The sequence below is a fragment of the Homo sapiens genome, chromosome 2 (assembly GCF_000001405.40).
Source record: "Homo sapiens chromosome 2, GRCh38.p14 Primary Assembly".
Lineage (NCBI taxonomy): Eukaryota > Metazoa > Chordata > Mammalia > Primates > Hominidae > Homo > Homo sapiens.
In genome coordinates this window covers 166176624-166200820 of record NC_000002.12, presented here as the reverse complement: position 1 = coordinate 166200820, position 24197 = coordinate 166176624, and the positions used below count along the sequence as shown (strand labels likewise).

General features: G+C 36.7%; 1 protein-coding gene, 1 long non-coding RNA gene and 1 pseudogene across 8 annotated transcripts in view; 2 read left to right on the top strand and 1 right to left on the bottom strand.

Annotated features, from left to right (window-relative positions):
* The window catches only part of SCN9A (sodium voltage-gated channel alpha subunit 9), a 180803-nt gene extending 175167 nt beyond the window's left edge, over positions 1-5636 (top strand). For all 7 annotated transcript variants that reach the window (XM_011511618.3, XM_011511617.3, XM_011511619.3 and 4 more), the window contains one exon: positions 957-5636. In XM_011511618.3, the coding sequence (XP_011509920.1) occupies positions 957-2149 (1193 nt within the window). In that variant the 3' untranslated portion in view covers positions 2150-5636. The remainder of the gene's footprint in view (positions 1-956) is intronic.
* Positions 1-24197, bottom strand: part of SCN1A-AS1 (SCN1A and SCN9A antisense RNA 1) — a 220254-nt gene that overhangs the window by 100964 nt on the left and 95093 nt on the right. The window contains exon 4 of the long non-coding RNA NR_110260.1: positions 1003-1182. This is a non-coding gene — a long non-coding RNA (SCN1A and SCN9A antisense RNA 1). The remainder of the gene's footprint in view (positions 1-1002; positions 1183-24197) is intronic.
* On the top strand, positions 19855-20169 carry RN7SKP152 (RN7SK pseudogene 152; annotated as a pseudogene).

Below are 24197 nucleotides of genomic sequence, written 5' to 3'. Positions count from 1 at the left end.
CTACCAAAAACACAAAAATTAACCAGGTGTGGTGGCGCATGCCTGTAGTCCCAGCTACTCTGGAGGCTGAGGCTGGAGAATCATTTGATCCCGGGATGCAGAGATTGCAGTAGGCCAAGATCACACCACCGCACTCCAGCTTTGGCGACAGAGCAAGACTCTGTCTTGAAAAATAAATAAATAGGTTACAAAAAAAGCTTATATAACATGAATACATTTGTTTGTGTGTGTACATGTGCTTGCACAGAAAAATGTCTGAAGTGATACTCAAAAAAATATTGATAATAGTTATTGTTGACATTTCAGGTGATTTATATTTTCTTTTTAGCATTTAACGGTATTGCTTGAATTTTCTATGTGAGTAGGTATCATTCTTAAAATGTAAAACACTATTATGGAGGGAAAAAATGGCCCATGAACTTAGTAAAAAGGAGAAAATGTCACAATGGTAATGTTAGTCATTTCTCTTTGGAATTTCTTAATCCTTTTTTAAGTAATTGCATTCAGTATAAAATAACTGTCTTGGCCGGGCACGGTGGCTCACGCCTGTAATCCCAGCACTTTGGGAGGCCGAGGCGGGCGGATCACGAGGTCAGGAGATCGAGACCATCCTGGCTAACAAGGTGAAACCCCGTCTCTACTAAAAATACAAAAAATTAGCCGGGCGTGGTAGCGGGCGCCTGTAGTCCCAGCTACTCGGGAGGCTGAGGCAGGAGAATGGCGTGAACCCGGGAGGCGGAGCTTGCAGTGAGCCGAGATCGCGCCACTGCACTCCAGCCTGGGCGACAGAGCGAGACTCCGTCTCAAAAAAAAAAAAAAAAAAAAAAAAAAAAAAAAAAAAAAAACTGTCTTGAATTCATAAGAAATGAGTTGACAGATAAAACTGTTTAGAGTCATCATTTCAGGTAGCATACATCTTTAAATATTTTATTTCTATTATTTTCCTCCACATACAGGTATGTTTCTAGCTGATTTGATTGAAACGTATTTTGTGTCCCCTACCCTGTTCCGAGTGATCCGTCTTGCCAGGATTGGCCGAATCCTACGTCTAGTCAAAGGAGCAAAGGGGATCCGCACGCTGCTCTTTGCTTTGATGATGTCCCTTCCTGCGTTGTTTAACATCGGCCTCCTGCTCTTCCTGGTCATGTTCATCTACGCCATCTTTGGAATGTCCAACTTTGCCTATGTTAAAAAGGAAGATGGAATTAATGACATGTTCAATTTTGAGACCTTTGGCAACAGTATGATTTGCCTGTTCCAAATTACAACCTCTGCTGGCTGGGATGGATTGCTAGCACCTATTCTTAACAGTAAGCCACCCGACTGTGACCCAAAAAAAGTTCATCCTGGAAGTTCAGTTGAAGGAGACTGTGGTAACCCATCTGTTGGAATATTCTACTTTGTTAGTTATATCATCATATCCTTCCTGGTTGTGGTGAACATGTACATTGCAGTCATACTGGAGAATTTTAGTGTTGCCACTGAAGAAAGTACTGAACCTCTGAGTGAGGATGACTTTGAGATGTTCTATGAGGTTTGGGAGAAGTTTGATCCCGATGCGACCCAGTTTATAGAGTTCTCTAAACTCTCTGATTTTGCAGCTGCCCTGGATCCTCCTCTTCTCATAGCAAAACCCAACAAAGTCCAGCTCATTGCCATGGATCTGCCCATGGTTAGTGGTGACCGGATCCATTGTCTTGACATCTTATTTGCTTTTACAAAGCGTGTTTTGGGTGAGAGTGGGGAGATGGATTCTCTTCGTTCACAGATGGAAGAAAGGTTCATGTCTGCAAATCCTTCCAAAGTGTCCTATGAACCCATCACAACCACACTAAAACGGAAACAAGAGGATGTGTCTGCTACTGTCATTCAGCGTGCTTATAGACGTTACCGCTTAAGGCAAAATGTCAAAAATATATCAAGTATATACATAAAAGATGGAGACAGAGATGATGATTTACTCAATAAAAAAGATATGGCTTTTGATAATGTTAATGAGAACTCAAGTCCAGAAAAAACAGATGCCACTTCATCCACCACCTCTCCACCTTCATATGATAGTGTAACAAAGCCAGACAAAGAGAAATATGAACAAGACAGAACAGAAAAGGAAGACAAAGGGAAAGACAGCAAGGAAAGCAAAAAATAGAGCTTCATTTTTGATATATTGTTTACAGCCTGTGAAAGTGATTTATTTGTGTTAATAAAACTCTTTTGAGGAAGTCTATGCCAAAATCCTTTTTATCAAAATATTCTCGAAGGCAGTGCAGTCACTAACTCTGATTTCCTAAGAAAGGTGGGCAGCATTAGCAGATGGTTATTTTTGCACTGATGATTCTTTAAGAATCGTAAGAGAACTCTGTAGGAATTATTGATTATAGCATACAAAAGTGATTCAGTTTTTTGGTTTTTAATAAATCAGAAGACCATGTAGAAAACTTTTACATCTGCCTTGTCATCTTTTCACAGGATTGTAATTAGTCTTGTTTCCCATGTAAATAAACAACACACGCATACAGAAAAATCTATTATTTATCTATTATTTGGAAATCAACAAAAGTATTTGCCTTGGCTTTGCAATGAAATGCTTGATAGAAGTAATGGACATTAGTTATGAATGTTTAGTTAAAATGCATTATTAGGGAGCTTGACTTTTTATCAATGTACAGAGGTTATTCTATATTTTGAGGTGCTTAAATTTATTCTACATTGCATCAGAACCAATTTATATGTGCCTATAAAATGCCATGGGATTAAAAATATATGTAGGCTATTCATTTCTACAAATGTTTTTCATTCATCTTGACTCACATGCCAACAAGGATAAGACTTACCTTTAGAGTATTGTGTTTCATAGCCTTTCTTCTTTCATATCCCTTTTTGTTCATAGAATAACCACAGAACTTGAAAAATTATTCTAAGTACATATTACACTCCTCAAAAAAAACAAAGATAACTGAGAAAAAAGTTATTGACAGAAGTTCTATTTGCTATTATTTACATAGCCTAACATTTGACTGTGCTGCCCAAAATACTGATAATAGTCTCTTAAACTCTTTTGTCAAATTTTCCTGCTTTCTTATGCAGTATTGTTTAGTCATCCTTTCGCTGTAAGCAAAGTTGATGAAATCCTTCCTGATATGCAGTTAGTTGTTTGACCACGGTACATACTTGAGCAGATAATAACTTGGGCACAGTATTTATTGCATCACTTGTATACAATCCCGTGTTTGGCAAGCTTTCAAATCATGTAATATGACAGACTTTACACAGATATGTGTTTAGTATGAATAAAAAAGCATTGAAATAGGGATTCTTGCCAACTTGCTCTCTTGCCACCAACTTACTTTCCTAAATTATGGAAGTAATCTTTTTTGGATATACTTCAATGTATACAATGAGGAAGATGTCACCTTCTCCTTAAAATTCTATGATGTGAAATATATTTTGCCTCAATCAACACAGTACCATGGGCTTCTAATTTATCAAGCACATATTCATTTTGCATTAGCTGTAGACATCTAGTTTTTTGAAAACACCTATTAATAGTAATTTGAAAAGAAATAACCATAATGCTTTTTTTCGTGAGTTTATTTCAGGAATATGAGATCTTTCTTCTATAAAGTTATTCATGCACAGGCAAAAATTGAGCTACACAGGTAGAATGTAGTTTTACTTAGAAGATTTTTGTGGGAGGTTTTGAAGCAAATATATAAAACAACTTTCACTAATTTGCTTTCCATATTTAAAAAATAATAAATTACATTTATATAATAAATGTTTAAAGCACATATTTTTTGTTGTTCTGGCAATTTAAAAAGAAAGAGGATTTAAACGTACCTATAGAAACAAAGATTTATGGTTAAAGAATGAGATCAGAAGTCTAGAATGTTTTTAAATTGTGATATATTTTACAACATCCGTTATTACTTTGAGACATTTGTCCTAATCTACGTATAAAACTCAATCTAGGGCTAAAGATTCTTTATACCATCTTAGGTTCATTCATCTTAGGCTATTTGAACCACTTTTTAATTTAATATGAAAGACACCATGCAGTGTTTTCCGAGACTACATAGATCATTTTATCACATACCTACCAAGCCTGTTGGAAATAGGTTTTGATAATTTAAGTAGGGACCTATACAAAATATATTACATTTATCAGATTTTTAAATACATTCAATTAAGAATTTAACATCACCTTAAATTTGAATTCAATCTACCGTTATTTCAAACTCACAAATATAACTGCATTATGAATACTTACATAATGTAGTAAGACAAGATGTTTGACAGGTTCGTGTGTAATTTTCTATTAATGTTTTTACATTGCCTTGTTTTTATGTAAAATAAAAAATATGGGCAACTGGTTTGTTAACAACACAATTTCTTCTTAGCATTTCAAAAATATATATAAAGTTGTTCTTTTTCCTATTTCATGAACTATGTTTTTTTTTAAAATAACATGGTTAAGTTTTATATATATTTACGTTTGTTTCAGGAATGTCTACTTGTGACTTTTTATCAATTAAAAATAATATTTGGAAGAAAGAGCTTATTAAGTATAAGCTTGAAGTAAAATTAGACCTCTCTTTCCATGTAGATTACTGTTTGTACTGATGGTTTCACCCTTCAGAAGGCACTGTCATATTAATATTTAAATTTTATAATCGCTGAACTTATTACACCCAACAATACAGAAAGGCAGTTACACTGAAGAACTTAACTTAGAATAAAATGGAAGCAAACAGGTTTTCTAAAAACTTTTTTAAGTGACCAGGTCTCGCTCTGTCACCCAGGCTAGAGTGCAATGGCATGATCATAGCTCTCTGCAGCCTCAACTCTGGGCTCAAGCAACCCTCCTGCCTCAGCCTCCCAAGTAGCTAAGACTACAGGTACATGCCACCATGCCTGGCTAATATTTAAATTTTTGTAGATAAGGGGTCTTGCTATGTTGCCCAGGCTAGTCTCAAACTCCTGGCTTCAAGTGTTCCTACTGTCATGACCTGCCAACATGCTGGGGTTACAGGCATGAGCCACCATGCCCCAAACAGGTTTGAACACAAATCTTTCGGATGAAAATTAGAGAACCTAATTTTAGCTTTTTGATAGTTACCTAGTTTGCAAAAGATTTGGGTGACTTGTGAGCTGTTTTTAAATGCTGATTGTTGAACATCACAACCCAAAATACTTAGCATGATTTTATAGAGTTTTGATAGCTTTATTAAAAAGAGTGAAAATAAAATGCATATGTAAATAAAGCAGTTCTAAATAGCTATTTCAGAGAAATGTTAATAGAAGTGCTGAAAGAAGGGCCAACTAAATTAGGATGGCCAGGGAATTGGCCTGGGTTTAGGACCTATGTATGAAGGCCACCAATTTTTTAAAAATATCTGTGGTTTATTATGTTATTATCTTCTTGAGGAAAACAATCAAGAATTGCTTCATGAAAATAAATAAATAGCCATGAATATCATAAAGCTGTTTACATAGGATTCTTTACAAATTTCATAGATCTATGAATGCTCAAAATGTTTGAGTTTGCCATAAATTATATTGTAGTTATATTGTAGTTATACTTGAGACTGACACATTGTAATATAATCTAAGAATAAAAGTTATACAAAATAAAATTATGTTTACACGTATTTTCTGTTTCAGTTAGAATAACCATAGGTGGGTAAAGTCAGTGGATATCTAAATAAGTTGCAACAACTGATAGCTTTTTCCTTTTCATTGAAAGGACAGCTTCAAATGTCCTCCATAAGAAGTGTTCCCGGGAAACAAAGACAAGGACAAAGAATCTAGAGTTCCAAAGTAATTTCTTGAAATCCACATCAAGGTTTGTGCAAAGGGAGAAAATTGAGACAGGAAGCAAAAATATGCAAACATCTAGCCACACAGCGATGTCTACATTTTTGTGTAATAGCATTAAGAGGTGGTGTAGCATACATAATGGCTAAGAGCTTTGGTTCATGGAGACTGCATTGTTCCTGTATGACACAGAAGTAGCCTGGATTCTTACATTTTTAGTAGCAAATTGGTTGTCATACTAACTACTATTACTACTAATATAAATTCTTGATTCTGTATTGTCATTGTTCTAATTTCTTTGTGTAGCTTGTCTCATTCTACCCTTACAACCACATGGAGTATTACTCTTTTTCTCATTTTACAGATGGGAAAGCTGTACCAGCTCTTAAGAGGTGATATAGCATACATAATGGCTAAGAGCATGGGTTCTAAGACTAGAACTATATTTGTATCCCAGTTAAGCCATGACCCTATGAGTTTGCTGAATACATTCTTTAACCTATATGGGCCTCAACTTTCTTATCTATAAAATGAGGAGAAGAGTACTACTTCATTATGTGGTTGTAATGATAGAATGAGACAAGCTTCATGAAGAAATTAAAACAATGACTGAAAACACATTGAAAATTTATATTAGTAGTAAGAGTAGTTAGTATGGCAATTAATTTGCTACTAAAAATGTAAGAACCCAGGCTACCTCTGTATCATACAGGAACAATGCACTCTTCATGAATGTTAAATAATGACAATATTTTCTCTATTTTATATGGGTAAGTATAACTATAGTGCCCAAAAGAGTTTTATGCACCCATTGGTAGGTAGTAAATATTTAGTGATGTGGCATATACACCAAATATTTCAAAATTTAGCTACTTTTGAGATTTATGAATTCAAACAACATATTAAAATCAGGAAATATGCACATTTATAAAGGTCTAGCTTATTTCCAAAAAGTGGAGGTGGTTCTTACCATTTTTAGCTGAGTAATTAATACAACCCTCTACTTTAGCTATAAGCATCAAGTCCTGTTGATGGTCATTAGGTAAGATATTCTAAAAATAATTGCCATACTAGGCCATTATTTCAACTTTTATGTTATCTTAATAGCATGTAAAAGGTGTAAAATAGTCCTTGGGACTTTTGTACTGATAGTTGCAATAGCCACTCTGCAAAATAGAATTATAATCACTGAATAATACTGTAATCCATTTCAACATAAGTGATTGTGATACATGCAAATTTTTTACAACAACAAAGCTAAATTCTTTCACATTGTAGATAATGCTATGCCATAACCCAAGCAAAATGAGCTGCAGGATACATGGTAATCTCTCTCAAGGGAGGGAGAAATTACATACTAGCTAGAGCAGAGGGGATTTTGCTGCAATAGTATTTGATGCACACAGGAAATGAAACATGAATAATTGATAGTTATAAACAAGCAATAGAGCTCACATGCTACACTTAGCTTGACTCCCTATTACTCTGCGAGCCATACCTACATTAATAATTGATCTGTCTGCGAAAAGGTAATTTGAAGAGATTTATGAGACATTGGTAATAACTGCATCATTGCACTTTAGCTTGAATCTTTTTAAATATATCTTTAGAAACAAAAGATAAAAGCAATGCACAATAAGTATACAGAAAATGTTCAGAGCTTGTTAAAAATTTTGCAAATCTAGTAGAACTGAGCAAAAGTTATTCGTAAGTTGTAATATTTGCTGGCATGACCTAGTTTTTATTTTATTTCCTACAAAACAATATGTCTTCAAGTTAGTTCAGTCATATTCTTTCTATAAAAATATAATTCTTCTCTAATATACCATCATAATTCATTTTTATTTTTAGTGATGTGTAAAATTTAGAATTTATGGGAAAATTATATCCAGTGAATATTAAGAATACACTCCCATTAAATTACTATTTCTAAATATGTGAGAACATAATCTGGATTTGCATGTGCTGCTTTAAACAAATACATTCTTTTACTTATGGCTGGCCCTTCATCTGAGGAGCCTCCAGATTTACTCTCTTTAAATATCTTGTGTCTTCTACTCTGTACATTGACAATATGTTAAAATGTGCTTTCTCCTGTTCTTAGGCTACTCTTGAGAACTGCTCATTTTTATATGAGAAAGAATGATATCTTGCTCATATAAGAAAAGGATATAAACCAACTGTGATACACTAATTCCTTCTAACAGAACAGAAAAAATAAGTGGATGGGGTTACATGTGTCTTTATACAAAACACAGATAACTATACCCAGGCTCCTGCCTCACAAAAATTGTGAGATAATACATTTGTATTATTTTAAGCTGCTAAATTTGTGATCATTTGTTACAAAGGATCAAACACAAATGCATGCTCCTGTTTTCCAATGTACCATGTTAAGGTAGAAATACAGATGAGCAACGCTACTAGAAAGGTTATTTTATCAAACCACAATGGCTCATACAGACTGTGGAGGTAAAAAGAGAGGGACACTGGTGAGACAGTTTGGCACACTGATCTCGCCCGCAAAAGACTGATGTAGAAAGCAAATGTTAATTGTTATCTTATCAAAAATTTAAAGGAGGAGATTTTCCTCCCTGTTGACTATCCTAATCGTGTTTACCATTCAGTGCACCTTATTCTTGGCAAAGCACCTTACAAATTTTTACCCAGAAGCCAAAGAAAATGGGCAATCTTAAGTAATTTTCTCAAAGTCAAAGAGAATCTGAAGTATACTTGTCCCACTCATGCCTTTAAAATGTAGGCCAAGAGAATCTACAGCAAATGTCTTCTAAAACGTTTCATTTGGAACATAAAAAGTTTCTATGTCAATACATTTAAGGAAGGGTGCATTATATATTTCACTCTTAGAGTAACATAATTCACTTTAGCATGTTACATGCTTGCAGAAGACATGAGACTCAGGAGTCAGAGATAATAATAGATTATTACTTAAAGCAATAGCAGGAGCCAGAGTATTATCATTTTTGTGTTGGTCTTAGAAAGCTGGGGCTGTCATAATAATATACCATAGACTGGGTGGCTAGAACAACAGAAATTTATTTCTAACAGTTCCCGAGGCTGAGGAGTCCAAGATTAAGGCGCCAGCCAATTTCGTTCCCCAGTGAGGGCTCATTTCCTGGCTGGCAGAGGGCAGCATTCTCACTGTGTCTTCAAATGGAGGAGGCAGTGAGCTCTGGTCTCTCTTCTTTTTTCTATAGGAATACTAATCTCATGGTGGAAGATATATATATATATATATATATATATATGTATATATATATGTGTGTATATATATATATATACATATATATATATGTGTGTGTATATATATATATATATATATATATATATATATATGCATTCAGTCCTCCATATCCATGGTTTCTGATCTGTGGATTCAACCAATTCTGGATCAGAAATAGTTGGGGAAAAAATCCACAAAGCCCCAAAAGGCAAAACTTGAATTTTCCATATGCTGAGTACTACATTGAATCCATACAAATGAAGTGATGTGTAGGTAATTTTAAACTATATAGGAGGATGTGTGTAGGTTATAAGCAAACACTATGCCATTTGTATAAGAGATTTGAGCATCTGTGGATTTTGGTATTCTCAGGGAGTCCAGAAGCCAATCCCCAGCAGATACTAAGGGACAACTGTATATCATGGTAAATAAATTACATCTTCCTTCTCATTGATTAGTACCACCATTCATCCAGTTTTCCAAACTAATCCTCTTCATTAACCCTCCGCATTTATTCACCAAGACCAGTTCATTCTACCACCTAATGTAATGTAAATACATCAACTTCTCTTAATTTCCACTGTCAACACCTAATCCAATCCATTACCACCTTTAACCTCTTTATAAGACAATGTAATAACCTACTTGTTTTATCTTACTAAATCCATTCTTGCCTCACTTCCAAATCTATTCTCAGTACAGTAGCCAGAGTGGATTTTATGAGGTTGTGACATTTCCCTGCTTAAAATTTTGGGTCATTTTCCGGCATAAAATTCTGTAATATTTCTCCATTATTATGATGATAAATTCTAAAATCCTCAGCAAAGATTTTACAAACTCTATACTATTACTGTCTACAAGTTCTACAAGCTTTCCAGCCCTACACCATGTCAGCCTCACTGCTCTTATCTTCCCTCTTTCCCTATCTTAATCTGTGTGCTTCAGCCTCAATAGTTTTCTTTCTGTTTGCAGGATCTTCTCAACAAAAGTATAGTGTATTCTTACATTCTTATACAGTGCCAGTGCTTTCTGGCCTGAGAGAGACTATACATGTCTTTCACATGGTAAGTTGAGTGGATGTTTGAAACTGTCCCACTGCTCACAAAATAAAATTAGTATAGAAAACTGGCATTTTTGAAGGACTAAGTTAAAAGTGTTTTTCCTCTATAGCTTTAACAAAGTAGAAAAAAAACAGAGATAATGTCAAGTAGGAAATAAAGACTGAAAAATGAAAACTTTCATATACATTCTACATTAAAATCAGACATTTATTTCTCTAAGGCCTGAGTTTCTCAATATTGGCAATCTTGATATTTGAGCTGGATAATTCTTTGTTGTGAGTGGCTGTCCTGTGCATGGTGGGATGTTTAGCACGATCACTGGTCTCTAACCTCTAGATATCAATAAACATTCCTAATTCCACAGTTATGACAAATAAAAATGTCCCCATCTTTGCTAAATGTTCTCAGGGGGACAAAATCTTCCCCAGTTGACAACGACTGATCTCTGACAATGTCTATAAAAGTATGAATCATGGATAACCGACATTACCTTAGCTATTAGTTTAAAAAATACTGAGACTTACCCAAGATCTATTGAATTGGATAGAGCCCCAAAATAATCACATAGCAACAGTGAAGACCATTACCCCAAAAATGACTAACTAGTTGTCCTAGGGATATTAAGTACTCTTGATTTTCTCTTTTAAAATATTGCTGCAAATTCAAAATGATGTCTTTCGGTGAGAAATTGAGTCAATTATCTTTAAGTTCAGGTGTTTCTTTTTGGCTACTAGGTAAGCTTTGGGTACATTCAGACATGATATTTCTTCCTATTGTTATTCAAGAGTTTGGGTTGCCATTCTTATCATAATTACATGGAGCAGTCACAGAGATGGGATCACTTGTTCAAGTGGAGTTTCTTCGACACGCTAAGTGTTAGTGCATTGTTACAATTTGCATTTTGAAACAAAGAACGTTTTTCCAAGAAAAATAATTCAGACATAATATTTCAGGTCAGCTTTTTCAGATCATATCCTGAATGAATAATAAGTGGGACTTTATTTCATTACATTCATTTCATTACATTTAAGTTTTCTCATGCTGCTAGTTGAAAAAAAATTGTAACTTTCTCCTCAACTTTCTCTGAATAGAATTTTATATTAAGCATAGGCCCACCAAGCAGACATCCCTTAAACTGAGTGTGCTGTGATTCAAAACAAGTCAGAGGAAATTCTACATTGGAGAAGGAGGCAGATAAAAGTTTTCTAGGGCCTGAGACTTACACAATTCTCTAATTCAGATGTACTCTCCTCTAGAAATTTGTTTCAATAATATATAAGGTGTTTTTCCAGAGAAACATCACTCATCAACTAACTTTTTTTATTCTTAATAGTTATTTGATTTCTCACTCCCTTAAGTGTATTTTTTTTAAATATTAAAATACTTCCTGTGTCCATGTGTTCTCATTGTTCAATTCCCACCTATGAGTGAGAACATGCGGTGTTTGGTTTTTTGTCCTTGCCATAGTTTGCTGAGAATTATGGTTTCCAGCTTCATCCATGTCCCTACAAAGGACATGAGCTCATCCTTTTTTATGCTGCATAGTATTCCATGGTGTATATGTGCCACATTTTCTTAATCCAGTCTATGGTGGGGGGAGGGGGGAGGGATAGCATTAGGAGATATGTTAAATGACTAGTTAATGGGTGCAGCACACCAACATTGCACATGTATACATATGTAACTAACCTGCACGTTGTGCACATGTACCCTAAAACTTAAAGTACAATTAAAAAAAATTTAAAAAAAAATACTCATCTTGTTTTAATATTTCTGGCCAAAGACAATGAATGAGACAAGGATTAAAATTTACGTTAAAATATAAGTGTATGCTTCTGACTGAAGATAGTTTATTATAATTTTCTGTGATGCTCTTCTCATTTTGAGAAATTATGAGCTAACAAAATTTTATGGATGAAAAGAAAGTATGAAATGCCACAGAAAATATCTTTTTCTCTTAAAAAAATCCTGTAAAGTTTACAACTGCCAAACTTCTAAATATCAAATCTAATTTTGACTCCCTCTAAAAAATAATAAAGATAAAATTGTAACACCTGAACAACTCAGCTCATCTTGATATATTGATTCTTGTCCACGACCTTAATAGAATCAGTCTGATAAAGCTCTGATAAAAGACGAGGAGGAGGAAACAGAAGTGGGAAAAGAATTCTTCCATGCTTCATTTTCTGCCCAATTTATTTTCTTTTATTTACTCATCCTAATCACCTCATTTCTATCTTAAATTCAGAACAAAGATTAATAAATGGTTTAGAGTCACCTAATTTGGCCTGGTGCTTGCAATTAAAAGATATGCTTATCTCTAAAGAATCATGCATTGTCCATTTATTTTAAAGACAAGTAGGTCTGCCCCCTACAAGCCTCAGCCAGAATACTACTTAGAGCAGCGTTATAGGCAAAAAGGAATCCGGAAGGGAGCCAGGAAAAATAAGAGAAGCAATTGACTTCAGCTTCGTGACACTGAGCTGGAGCACTTTGATGTGCACAAAGCTGAGGAACCATTCTGGCAGCTTCAAATGGTAGCCTTCAGCATTTTTCCCCTATTGCATTTCTTCCTGTCAAGTTATTTCCTCCTAGTGTAAGAGAACTTCCTCCCTGCTTCTGTCTCCTTGGGACCTAAAGTCAACAAAACTAATCTCTTCCTTTTTATGAGATCAATAAAGCAAATTAGACATGATATTGAAAGTACTTAAAAATTTAAGCCCTGCTTTTTGGAATGCAATCTTTTGTCTTTAGGAATTGTTAAAAAATGTCAATATACAAACATATACATAGCAGTATCTTTTTATATAATATCAAGAATGGGGGAACTAGAGAAGGAAAAAGAACCAAGACACAAAGACAATATTTAGTAAAATGACAAACATAAATGCTAACTTAGTGCATTGGGATGTCAGTCTTTTTCTTATTTTTTGAGTTATTCATCAGAGAAATGCAAGTTAAAATAGTAATGAAATATTGCTAGACCACCACCAGAATAACTAAATTAAAAAAAAAAAACTGACAATAAGTGTTTTCAAAGATGTGGAGCAAAAGAAACTCTCACATATTCCTGGTAAGAATATATACCTGGACAACTACTTTGAAGATATGTTTGTCAGTATCTATTAATGCTAGCCATATATATTCATGACCAGAAATTCTATCACTGGTATATATGCACAGAAAGGAGTATTTATAGTCATCAAAAACATGTATGTGAATGTTCACAGATGATATATTCATTATGGTCTCAAACTGGCAACAATCCAAACATCCATCAAGATTAGAAAGAATAAATATTGAGGTATAGGTATACAACAAGGGAATCCAGGCTTGTGCCTATAATCCCAGCTGCTCAGAAGGCTGAGGCAAGAGGATTGCTTGAGCCCAGGAGTTTGAAGCTGCAGTTAGCTATGATCATGCCACTGCACTCCAGCCTGAGTGACAGAATGTGATCCTAGCTCTTTATTTTTTTAATTCATTAATTTGTTTATTTATTTTAAGACAGAGTCTCACTCTGTTGCCCAGACTGGAGTGCAGTGGCAATATCTCCACTCACTGCAACCTCCGCCTCCCGGGTTCAAGCAATTCTCCTGCCTCAGCCTCCTGAATAGCTTGGACTACAGGCACACACCACCACGCCTGGCTAATTTTTTTTTTTTTTTTAAGTAGAGATGGGGTTTCACCATGTTGCCTAGGCTGGTTGCGAACTCCTGAGCTCAGGCAATCCGCCTGCCTCGGCCTCCCAAAGTGCTGGGATTACAGGTGTGAGCCACCACGCCGGGCCGTGATCCTAGCTCTTAAGAAAACTGGTATACAACAGTAAGAAAAGACATTTTACTGATACACGTAAAACATGCAAAAACATAGGGAATCTCACAAACATAATTATGAGCAAAAGAAGCCAGACACAAAAGATTACATATTGTTTGAATTAATTTATGAAGCTTAATGACAGGCAGGCAAAATAAGTATTTATGCTAATAGAAGAGTGGTAACTTTGGGGGAGTTATTGGCATAGAGGGGCATAAGGGACAATTCTTAGGTAATAGGAATGTTTTGTATCCTAACCTAGGTAGTGTTTATTTAGGAGTATAAATATGTATATTTGAACTGTACAATTTTCTTAATGTACTATGTACTTATTATATCCCAATAAAGTAATAAACAACAATAACAAACAAACTCCTGAGTTACTGAAATCAGCCACCATCCCCAGGGAGTTACAGCTATAATGTCATCTTACCACTCTGTTTCTTGCTTCTCTTTTGCTTTTTTGTTCCTGGAAATTTTCTTTAATTTTTATAAGCTCAGCTTTGCACTCGTAAAATTATTTATTAAATTTTACCCAACAAACAGTTTATCAGGACTTTTTTCAGGATACTTGAACACCTAATTGTTAGGTACTAAATGTACACTAAATGATCTCCTGGCTAGGAATCTCCTATAGCTTTGCTTGAGAGTCATAAAAACTAAGATCATTTTAATAAAATTTAGGCTTCCAAAATATTTTCTTCTTCTTTTCTAGAGCCTCCCAGAGCAAAACTATGAAAGACAAAAAAAAGTAGCAGGGAAACAGAAAATAAATATTCAAAAAGATTCATTAAACCTGAGACCTAAGTTTGCAAACTTAGATAATGTTTTAATTATTTTATGTAAGACTAATTTATTTGCTAATCTAATTGAAACATTATTTTCCTACTGCATTGTAATTGCATTTTACCAACAATACAACACCATCAGAGAACTTAAATACACCACAAATGCATTAATCATTTATATTTGGAGACATGGCTTGAAACAGGATGCACTATGAACAGCTTTATTTTTTCTAACTTGCAATAAGTCTAAACATTTTTCTTTCCCTTATTGCTTAGATAGCTCATTTCCTTTATGACTTACCTCAGACTAGAAATTAACTGATGGGCATAGTATCTACACTGTTTCTAAAACTAATATTTTATGTATATATATATGCACATTCTTGTTTTCTTCCCTTACATAAACATCGAATCCATCAACAAACGCTACTGATTCAACCTGTAAAATATATCCCAAATCTACCCTTTTCTATTCATCTAGACCACCTGCCCCCTTGTCCAAGCCACTATTATATCTTTTACCTACACTATCGTAGTAGCCACTTAACTGGTCTTTTGGCTCCACTTTTGACTTTCTAAAATGTATTCTTCACAGAGTGATCAGAGTGATCCTTTAAAACTCTATTGGACAAAAAACCAAACACCGCATGTTCTCACTCCTAGGTGGGAATTGAACAATGAGAACACATGGACACAGGAAGGGGAACATCACACACCGGGACCTGTTATGGGGTGGGGGGAGGGGGGAGGGATAGCATTAGGAGACATACGTAATGTTAAATGACGAGTTAATGGGTGCAGCACACCAACATGGCACATGTATATATACATAACAAACCTGCACATTGTGCACATGTACCCTAAAACTTAAAGTATAATAATAATAAAAAAAAAAAACTCCATTGGCGATCAGGCTACTGTCTCCATGACCACCAGTGCTTCTTACCGTGTTCAGAACTCCCAGTTGCACCTAGCATAAAAAGCCGACTTCACTCTCTAAAGGGCTTTACGTGATCTGTTCCCTGCTTGACTGTGCTGCTGCTCCATGTAACACCAACCTCTTCTTAAACTCACAGTGCCTCAGCTCTACTAACCTGCTTTCTGTTCTTGAAAACAAGTTTATTCTTGCCTCAGGGCCTTTCTCTTGCTCTTTGTCACCTGGAATGTTCTCTGATTCAGAACACAGCTGCATCCTTTTAGATTTCAGTTGAAATATTTCCTTATTAGAGAAGCCTTTCCTGGTGAGCCTACTTAAAGCAATTCCACTGCCCTGCTCACTGTTTACCAAATTAAACTGTTTTACTTTCATCTACCATTTACTATTATCTAAAATTATGGAAAGTTGATTATGTGTTTATTTGTCTCCTCTGCATTGATAAATGTTACCCCATGAGCTACAGACATTGTTTGCTTTAGCTATCTTCATCCCTAGATGGCCTTACAGCCAACAGATCCTCATTAGTTAAATTGTGTTTTTCAGATCCCTGAACTCAGTCAGTTTGGCTTAGAAGGAAAACCTCTGATGAACTAATCTCACAAAAAATGTCAGTGTCTGCTCATAATTGAGTGTCACCTTTTCCGTGAGTCTGGGAATTTGAGAGAAATTCTGAGAATACATAATAGATACATGGTAAGAGAGTGATCTCAGGAAGGGCTTTCCTGGAGCCCTTCTGTGACGTCCTCCCATTTGGGCTATGCTTTGCTACTTTTGTTTCATGAGAGAAAAACAAATTACCTTCTAAAATCTACCCATCAACAGATAACCACGAAAGAAATGTCTACCAATGGTGTACTGGTAAATGTAAAGCAACTGGCTCTCCTGGAGGATAAGACCTTTTCTCTATGTATCTTTTGCCTATTTCTGTGGTGTAAACACTCATCCCATGGCTAAATTCCAGCAAACAATCTGAAGTCACTGAACATAGACTTGGAAGGAGCCGTGCACCATTGCTCTCTCCAGCTGGCCCAAGAAGGCTCCAGCACACCACTGACATCTACTAGGTGCCAAGAATAATGGGAGGTATTTTATGTTCAGGCTCTCCTATCTTAGCACAATGCTAAAAACTAATTTGTCAGTTATCTGTGAGAGATGAGGAAATAAACTTGGGTAACATGCTCAGATACACATCACAAAAGGGGTAAAATCAAGGTTCAAATTCAGATCTGACTCCAGATACCACATCTTTCATTTGTTTCAGGGAGTAGTAGTAAAAAAAACCACCAAAAACAAAGCAACAAACAAGAGTATTGTCAGTGTCAAGCTGCTTTGTAAGATCATAGTTACTTTCCGAACATCCTAGATGTCTCACAGATGATGCAAATTTTATTTTTAGTGTTAACTATATGTGTAGTACATAATTAGTTGGAATGAGAATTCTAAAAGTTCAGTGCACCAACAAAGTCTTGGAAATGCTCTCTCCTCTTTTTTCCCTTCTTTGCTAATTCCCTTTTTCGACACCCTCCTAAAACACGAAAGTTTTAGACATCAAGGGGACCAGCCATTGAAAGAAAAAGTGACCCAATATCAAACAGCTTGTGCCTATTTGTTTAGAAATTCTGGTGAAAAACAAAAGCTAGATCAGTTTCCAGGATAAAACTGTCAATGAAGTAATAAAGTTCCATGCCTTTGGAAGATGGTGTCACTTCCACCTGACAGCAATAAAAAGGAGGAGGAGGAGAATGGTCCCAGGTGAGACCATTAATTCTCAAACATTTGCACACATTAGAATCAGCTGGAGAACTTTAACACACAGAATGCTGGCATGTACCCCAGGGGTTCTGATTCAGATTCAATAAATATACAGTGGGGCTCAAAATTTGCATTTCTAACTAACAATCTCCAGGTAATGCTGAGGCTTTTTGTCTAGTAACCACACTTAGGAGGGGCTCTCTAGATGCCAAGGATTTGTATATGCATGACAACTGAGAAAATGCTGGTTAAGAGCCCTGTTTCTCAAACTTTACTGCATGTTACAATCACCTGGAGACCTTAAAACCCATGCCTGTGTCTCTTCCCATAGATACTACTTAAATTAATCTGGGGTGTAGCTGAGTGTATTGAAATTTTTAGAAGCTCCAGGGGTGATTGTAATGAGCAGCTAAGTTTGATAACCCATGGAAATTGCTCTAATTTTTTTGTCTTTTTCAACTTTTATTTTAGATTCTGAGGGCACAAAGTTTTGTTACAAAGGTATATTTTGTGATGCTGAAGTTTAGAGTACGATTGAACCTGTCACCAGAAGTGAACTGTGCTTGCTAGGGATCTAGATTGCATGGTCCATATAAGACTCTAATGCCTGATGATCTGTTACTGTCTCCCATCATCCCCAGATAGGACCTCTGGTTGCAGGCAAACAAGCTGAGGGCTCTCACTGAATCTACATTATGGTGAGTTATATAATTATTTCACTATGTATTAGAATGTAATAATAATAGAAATAAGGTGCACAATAAATATAATGTGTTTCCCATCATCCCAAAACCATACCCACCTCCCCAGTCCATGGAAAGATTACCTTCCACTAAACCGGTTCCTGGAGCCAAAGAGGTTGGGGGCCACTGTTGTATAGTATCTCACAGGCGTTCTCTGGATGTCTTGAATTTGCATATCAGCCTGTAGTGATTGCGGAAAATTTTGTGAACTACATCCTCAAATGTGTTTTCCAAGTTGCTTACACTCTCCTTTTCTTTCAGAAATGCCAATGAGTCACAGGTTTGGTCTCTTTACAAAATCCCATATTTCTCAGAGGTTTTGTTAACTTTTGAAATTCTTTTTTTTTTTCTTTGTTTTTGTCTGACTGGGTTTATTTGAAGGACAAGTCTTCAGGATCTGACATTCTTTCCTCATGTTGGTCTATTAGGTTGTTAATAGTTCCAAGTATATTATAAAATTCCTGTAGTAAGTTTTTCAATTCCAGAAATTCCGTTTGGTTCTTTCTTAAAATGGTTATATCATCTTTCCACTCTTGGAATGTTTTACTTGCTTCCTTGGATTGTGTTTCAGCGTCTCCAGAATCTCGTTGACCTTCTTTGCCATCCAGATTCTGAATTCTGTATCTGTCAGGGCTGGTGTTCCTATAGCTTTTGGAAGTTGCTGTCACTTAGACAAAGCTTTTGTTTTTATATTATATCCCTAGAGGGTTTGACTTTGGTTTATGTTGAGTATGATCTACTGTCTTCATTTTTTTTTTTTTTTTTTTTGTACTTTCAAAGGCCGAGGCTCTGTGCCTGATCTTTTTTTTTGTGGCTAGATTCCTGCATTGGATTTCACCAGCAATGTGCACTGGGAGAATTTTTATTTGGTGGTGTAATCCAGGCTTGATCCAGTAGATGGCGACGGCGCGTAATATTAATAGTAAGGGCTGGCAGATAGGCTCTTAGGCGCTCACCTGTTTTGTATTTCAGTGCATTTGCAGCGGTACTCTCGGGTGTGGGAGATGGGGGAGGCACGAGATGACCCTGTCACCAAGTCCATGGGCCTTGCGGGGACCCCCTCCAATCATTGGGCGGCACTAGCCTTTCCTTAGCCCGAGGGGCCCTGGTTGCCTGCACTTCTCCGTTCCTTAGGGGTGGCCCTAACCCATGGTTGTTAGGTTGTTATGATCCAGCTCCCTGGATCTCATAGCAACCTAACAACCTTAGGTGCCCACTGGTCCCCTGTACTTTGCAGAGTCAGGGCAGTTTGTAGGATACATCTGTGGTTTATGTTTTGATGCAGTGGGTCAAAGGTGGAGGATCCCTGGGTAGGGCAGGATTGCCATGGTTGTGCAACCGGTGTGGCCCCCATGGCCCAGGGTTCTTTGCCCAGCAGACAGTTGTGGGGTCTGCGCAGCTCACGCTCCCCCAACCAGGTCTCTTTCCGGGGTCTGCCCCAGTAGCTGGACCAAACCAGCTAGTTTTGTCCCAAGCATTCTGCACCCGGATCACTGGGTTAATTGTTCCCATCTGTGGGGCTCCCTCAGGCAGAGCTCGCAAGCAGGCTACACCCTTCCCGGGCTGGTCTTGTGGAGGGAGGCACACCCAGCTCCGGCGCCGGCCCTTGAGCATATATGCCTCTCTCAGTGCTCTGAGAGTGGGGGCTCCTCCTCCGCTTGAGCTTCAGCGACAGATTTCAGCTCCATATTCCTTAGCTGTGTGCTCAAATGTTTGGGTATTGGGACCAGGCCCATTGATCGCCAGGGTTGATTTGGCTGATCTCGCTGGCTAGGCAGGTGTCCCCTTCCTCCTTCACCGCCCCAGGTGCGAACCTCCCAAAGCTGCCCGCTCTGCCGAAGAGGATGACCATCTCCAACAGAAGGATAGAGGAGAACCAGTCTTCGGTCAAGGATATACAAGTAGCTGCGCTCCCCTGCTAGGACCTCCAAACAAGCTTTCCAATGCCTGTAGGGGTCGTGGGATCTCTTGTAGCTAGGATTTCAGAGGTCAGTGGCGGGAGTGTTCTTTCACTTCCTTAGGACCTGGAAGCCTAGAACACTTAGGACCTGGAAGTGTTCTTTCACTTCCTTAGGACCTGGTCCTTTCACTTCATTAGGACCAGTTAAGGGCTGGGAGCCGGTTCTGACATTTGGCAACTCCGTGCAGGGTCCCAGCTTCCTCCCTCTTCCACCTCGTTGTCTGCATCGCCTCTCTATTTACTTTCAGTGTTTTCTCTCAAAAGATCTGTTCAAAGTGCGATGGCTTATTTCATATTTTGATTTCTCTTGCTGGGAGCGTAGCTTCCCGGCTCAATCTAGTTGGCCATCTTCTCCCCTCTAGTTGGCCATATTCTCCCCTCAATCCGCTCTGGATTTTAATTCATAGGTTCTATATTCTTTACACATAACTTTCAATGTGTCCTCCTAAAACTTACCCATCCAGAAAGCACTCATTTCCTTAAGTTGCTAGTTCGTTTCAAGCATGTGCTGAACTGTAGAAGTTAGAGTGCCAGCTGAGAAATCCAGTAGACAGTGCCTCTATGAGTTTCTCCTCTATGTCAGTGCCTCTATGAGTTTCTCCTCTATGTCAGTGCCTCTTTGGGTCTCAGTCTCTGCTACTTACTGACTGTGTGATCTTAGTTAAATATGACATTTAACTTCTTTGTTTTGTCTCCTGTTGTAGGTAAGTATAGATTATTATGAGCAGTATATGAAAGAACTTGGAAAATGCTTGGAAACGCTCAAAAGGTCATAGAGAAGAATTATTATTAATGTATAGGAAGATGGTGTTTATAGATGGTACATAATAGATTATTTTTTAATTAGAGCACCTCTCATTGTCAAAATACAGTCCCAGATTACCTGTTATACGAGAATCCCAAATAATATTGTTAAAGAGTAGCAGCTCATATGCCACCTGCTTGATAAAGTTTTCCAGGGTCCAAAGTAACCAATGTGATTATAATTCTACAGTATAAACATGCAACAGCTTATTCTATTATTACCTTACGGGTATCTCTCCTAATATAATTCACTCATTGAGGACAGAAGCAATGAATCCTCTATGAATATGCTCACTTATGTAGGTGCTAATTGCCTAAAAATATATTACTTCTCTGCATATGTGAGGATAAAATATTACTTCTTTTTCATTGTTAAAAGCAAAAAGATACTCAGACTACTCTGATTCCATAAGATGTTTTAAAATAATTATTTAGTAAAAAGAGAAACGTAGTTTTTTTGGGGATGTAAGTTTTTAAAATTCTTTATATAATGGCTCCATCTTCTGGCCATTGAAATAGACTTACCATGTTACAAAATGCAGTTAAGTCTCATACTGCAGAAATAAATCAGTACGAGTCAAAAAGAATAACATAACTTTTTATTCAGAAACTTTCACAAACTTGACTAACTTCTTCACTGAGAATTTTACTTTGGTCATTGTTTAAATTTCATGTGTCTGAATCCTTCTCCTCACCCCGAATTGTTAGGACACATTTTAACAATGTTTGGTTTTCTGGGGATTTATTTTATATTGACACAATACTTACACAGTACAGGTATCTGTACTTAAAAGAACAGTGAGAGAAGCCAAGTCAGGAACATCTCAGTAAACACATTTAAGTTCCATGGACCTCACTGTAAAAGGCCACCTGTAGGATTGTTGAAGAGAAACGGATCTACTCTGCGGGTAGTCTCTCCACTTTGTTCACTGTTTCCTTTGCTGTGCAGTTTTTTTTTTAGCTTGATGTGATCCCATTTGTCCGTCTTTGATTTGGTTGCCTGTTCTTGTGGGGTATTCCTCAAGAAATCTTTGCCCGTACCAAAGTCTTGGAGAGTTTCCTTAACGTTTTCTTGTAGCAGTTCCATAGCTTGAATTCATATATTTAATTATTTAATTGATTTTAATTTGATTTTTAGATATAGTGAAGAATAGGGGTCTAGTTTTATTTGTCTGCATATAGATATCCAGTTTTCTCAACACCGTCTATTGAAGAGACTGCCTTTTCCACATTGCATGTTCTTGGCACCTTTATCGAAAATGAGTTTACTGTAGGTGTGTGTATTTGGTTCTGAGCTCTCTATTCTGCAAACTACCCATCTAACAAGGGATTAATAATCAGAATATACAAGGAACTTAAATATCTCTGTTTGAAAAAGTCTAATAAACTGAATAAAAAATAGACAAAATATTTGAATAGAAATTTCTCAAAAGAAGACATACAAATGACAAACAGGTACATGAAAATGTACTCAACATCACTGATCATCAGAAAACTGCAAATCAAAAACTGCAATGAGATGATATCTCACCCCAGTTAAAATGGCTTACATCCAAAAGACAGGCAATAACAAATGTTAGCTGTGGAGAAAAGGACACCTTCATACACTGTTGGTGGGAATGTAAATTAGTACAATCACTATGGAGAACCATTTGAAAATTCCTCAGAAAACTAAAAATAAAGCTACCATACGATCCAGCAACCCCACTGTTGGGTATACATGCAAAAGAAAGAAAATTAATATATCAAAGAGATACCTGCACTCCCATGTTTGCTACAGCTCTGTTCACAATAGCCATGATTTGGAAGCAACCCAAATGTCTTTAAACAGATAAATGGATTAAGAAAGTATGATTCTTATACACAAAGGGGTACTCTTCAGCCACAAAAAAAAAAGAGAATGAATTCAGTCATTTGCAGCAACATGGATGGAACTGGAGGTCATTATGTTAAATGAATAAGCCAGGCACAGAAAGACAAACATCCATGTTGTCACTTATTTGTGGGATATAAAAATGAAAACTACTGTACCCACGAAGTTTGAGAGTAGAAGGATGGTTACTAGAGGCTGGGAAGGACAGTGGGGAGTGAGGAGTCTGAGGGGAAGAGACAAATAGTTAAAATGAATGAATAAGACCTAGTGTTTGATAGCACAACAGGGTGACTGTAGTCAATAATAATTTAATTGTACATTTTAAAATAACTAAAAGAATGTGATTAGATTGTTTGTAACACAAAGGATATATGCTCGAGGAGTTGGATAACCCATCTGCCATGATGTGATAATTATGCATTGTATGTCTGTATCAGAACATCTCATGTACTGCATAAATATATATACTTACTATGTCCTCACAAAAATTAAAAATGGAAAATATAAGAAATTGATCTAGAAAGTATGTAACTGTCAACAGGAAGGAACGTGCTATATGACAGTAGGTAAGTCTTAAATTGTGATTTGGCTTCCAAAGATATGAGAGGCGGCCAGCCCACAGCTCTGGACTCCTGCGACCTCATGGGTTGCACACTCAGCTTGTAGGTGGCTCATTGTGTGTGTGCCCAGAATGAAAAAGGCTGTGAGGAGCTGCATCTTCTCACTCACTTGTATCTGTATCAGCTTTCTATCCTTTATACTGTTTGTTGCTGGTTTGATATAAACTAAAGTTAGAGCATCCATGAATCAAATCTCAGTACAGGTTCACTAGTCTTTGATCACAAACCAGTCCGCTGCAGTCTGGCCAGCTCAGGCATGCTTCTTAAACACATTACACCAGGCCAGACAAAGCATACTAGTCATTTCAAAGGGATCTGAATTGCCTATTTGGAGAACATATTGCAGTGCAGAAACACACATTTCCATAATGTCTATTGTTATTCCCTTAATGTCAACCATTAATTCTACAGATTGCAAGCATAACATGTTCTCTGTTGAAATTTGAAAAACACAGAAACCCAAAAAGAAGAAAAAAATGAAGTCATATTCCCTTGAGAAAAAAAAGGATTGCATTTCCTTCCAGTCATTTTTTTTTCTATGTAGATAAATTTGATGTTTGTGTTTTCATGTGGTCTGGTTAGGGTTGTGGTGTAATACAGTAACCTAAAAGAATTTATTTATTAAAACTGTCAGCTGTCAGTTAGCTCAGTGCTATATTTGGTTCATCTTACAGATATCTCTCTTTCTCTCTCTGTCTCTCTCTCTCTCTGTCTCTCTCTCTCTGTCTCTCGCTCGCTCTATCAGCAGCGAAGGCATTGATGTTGATTAAAGAGTCCCATTCCCA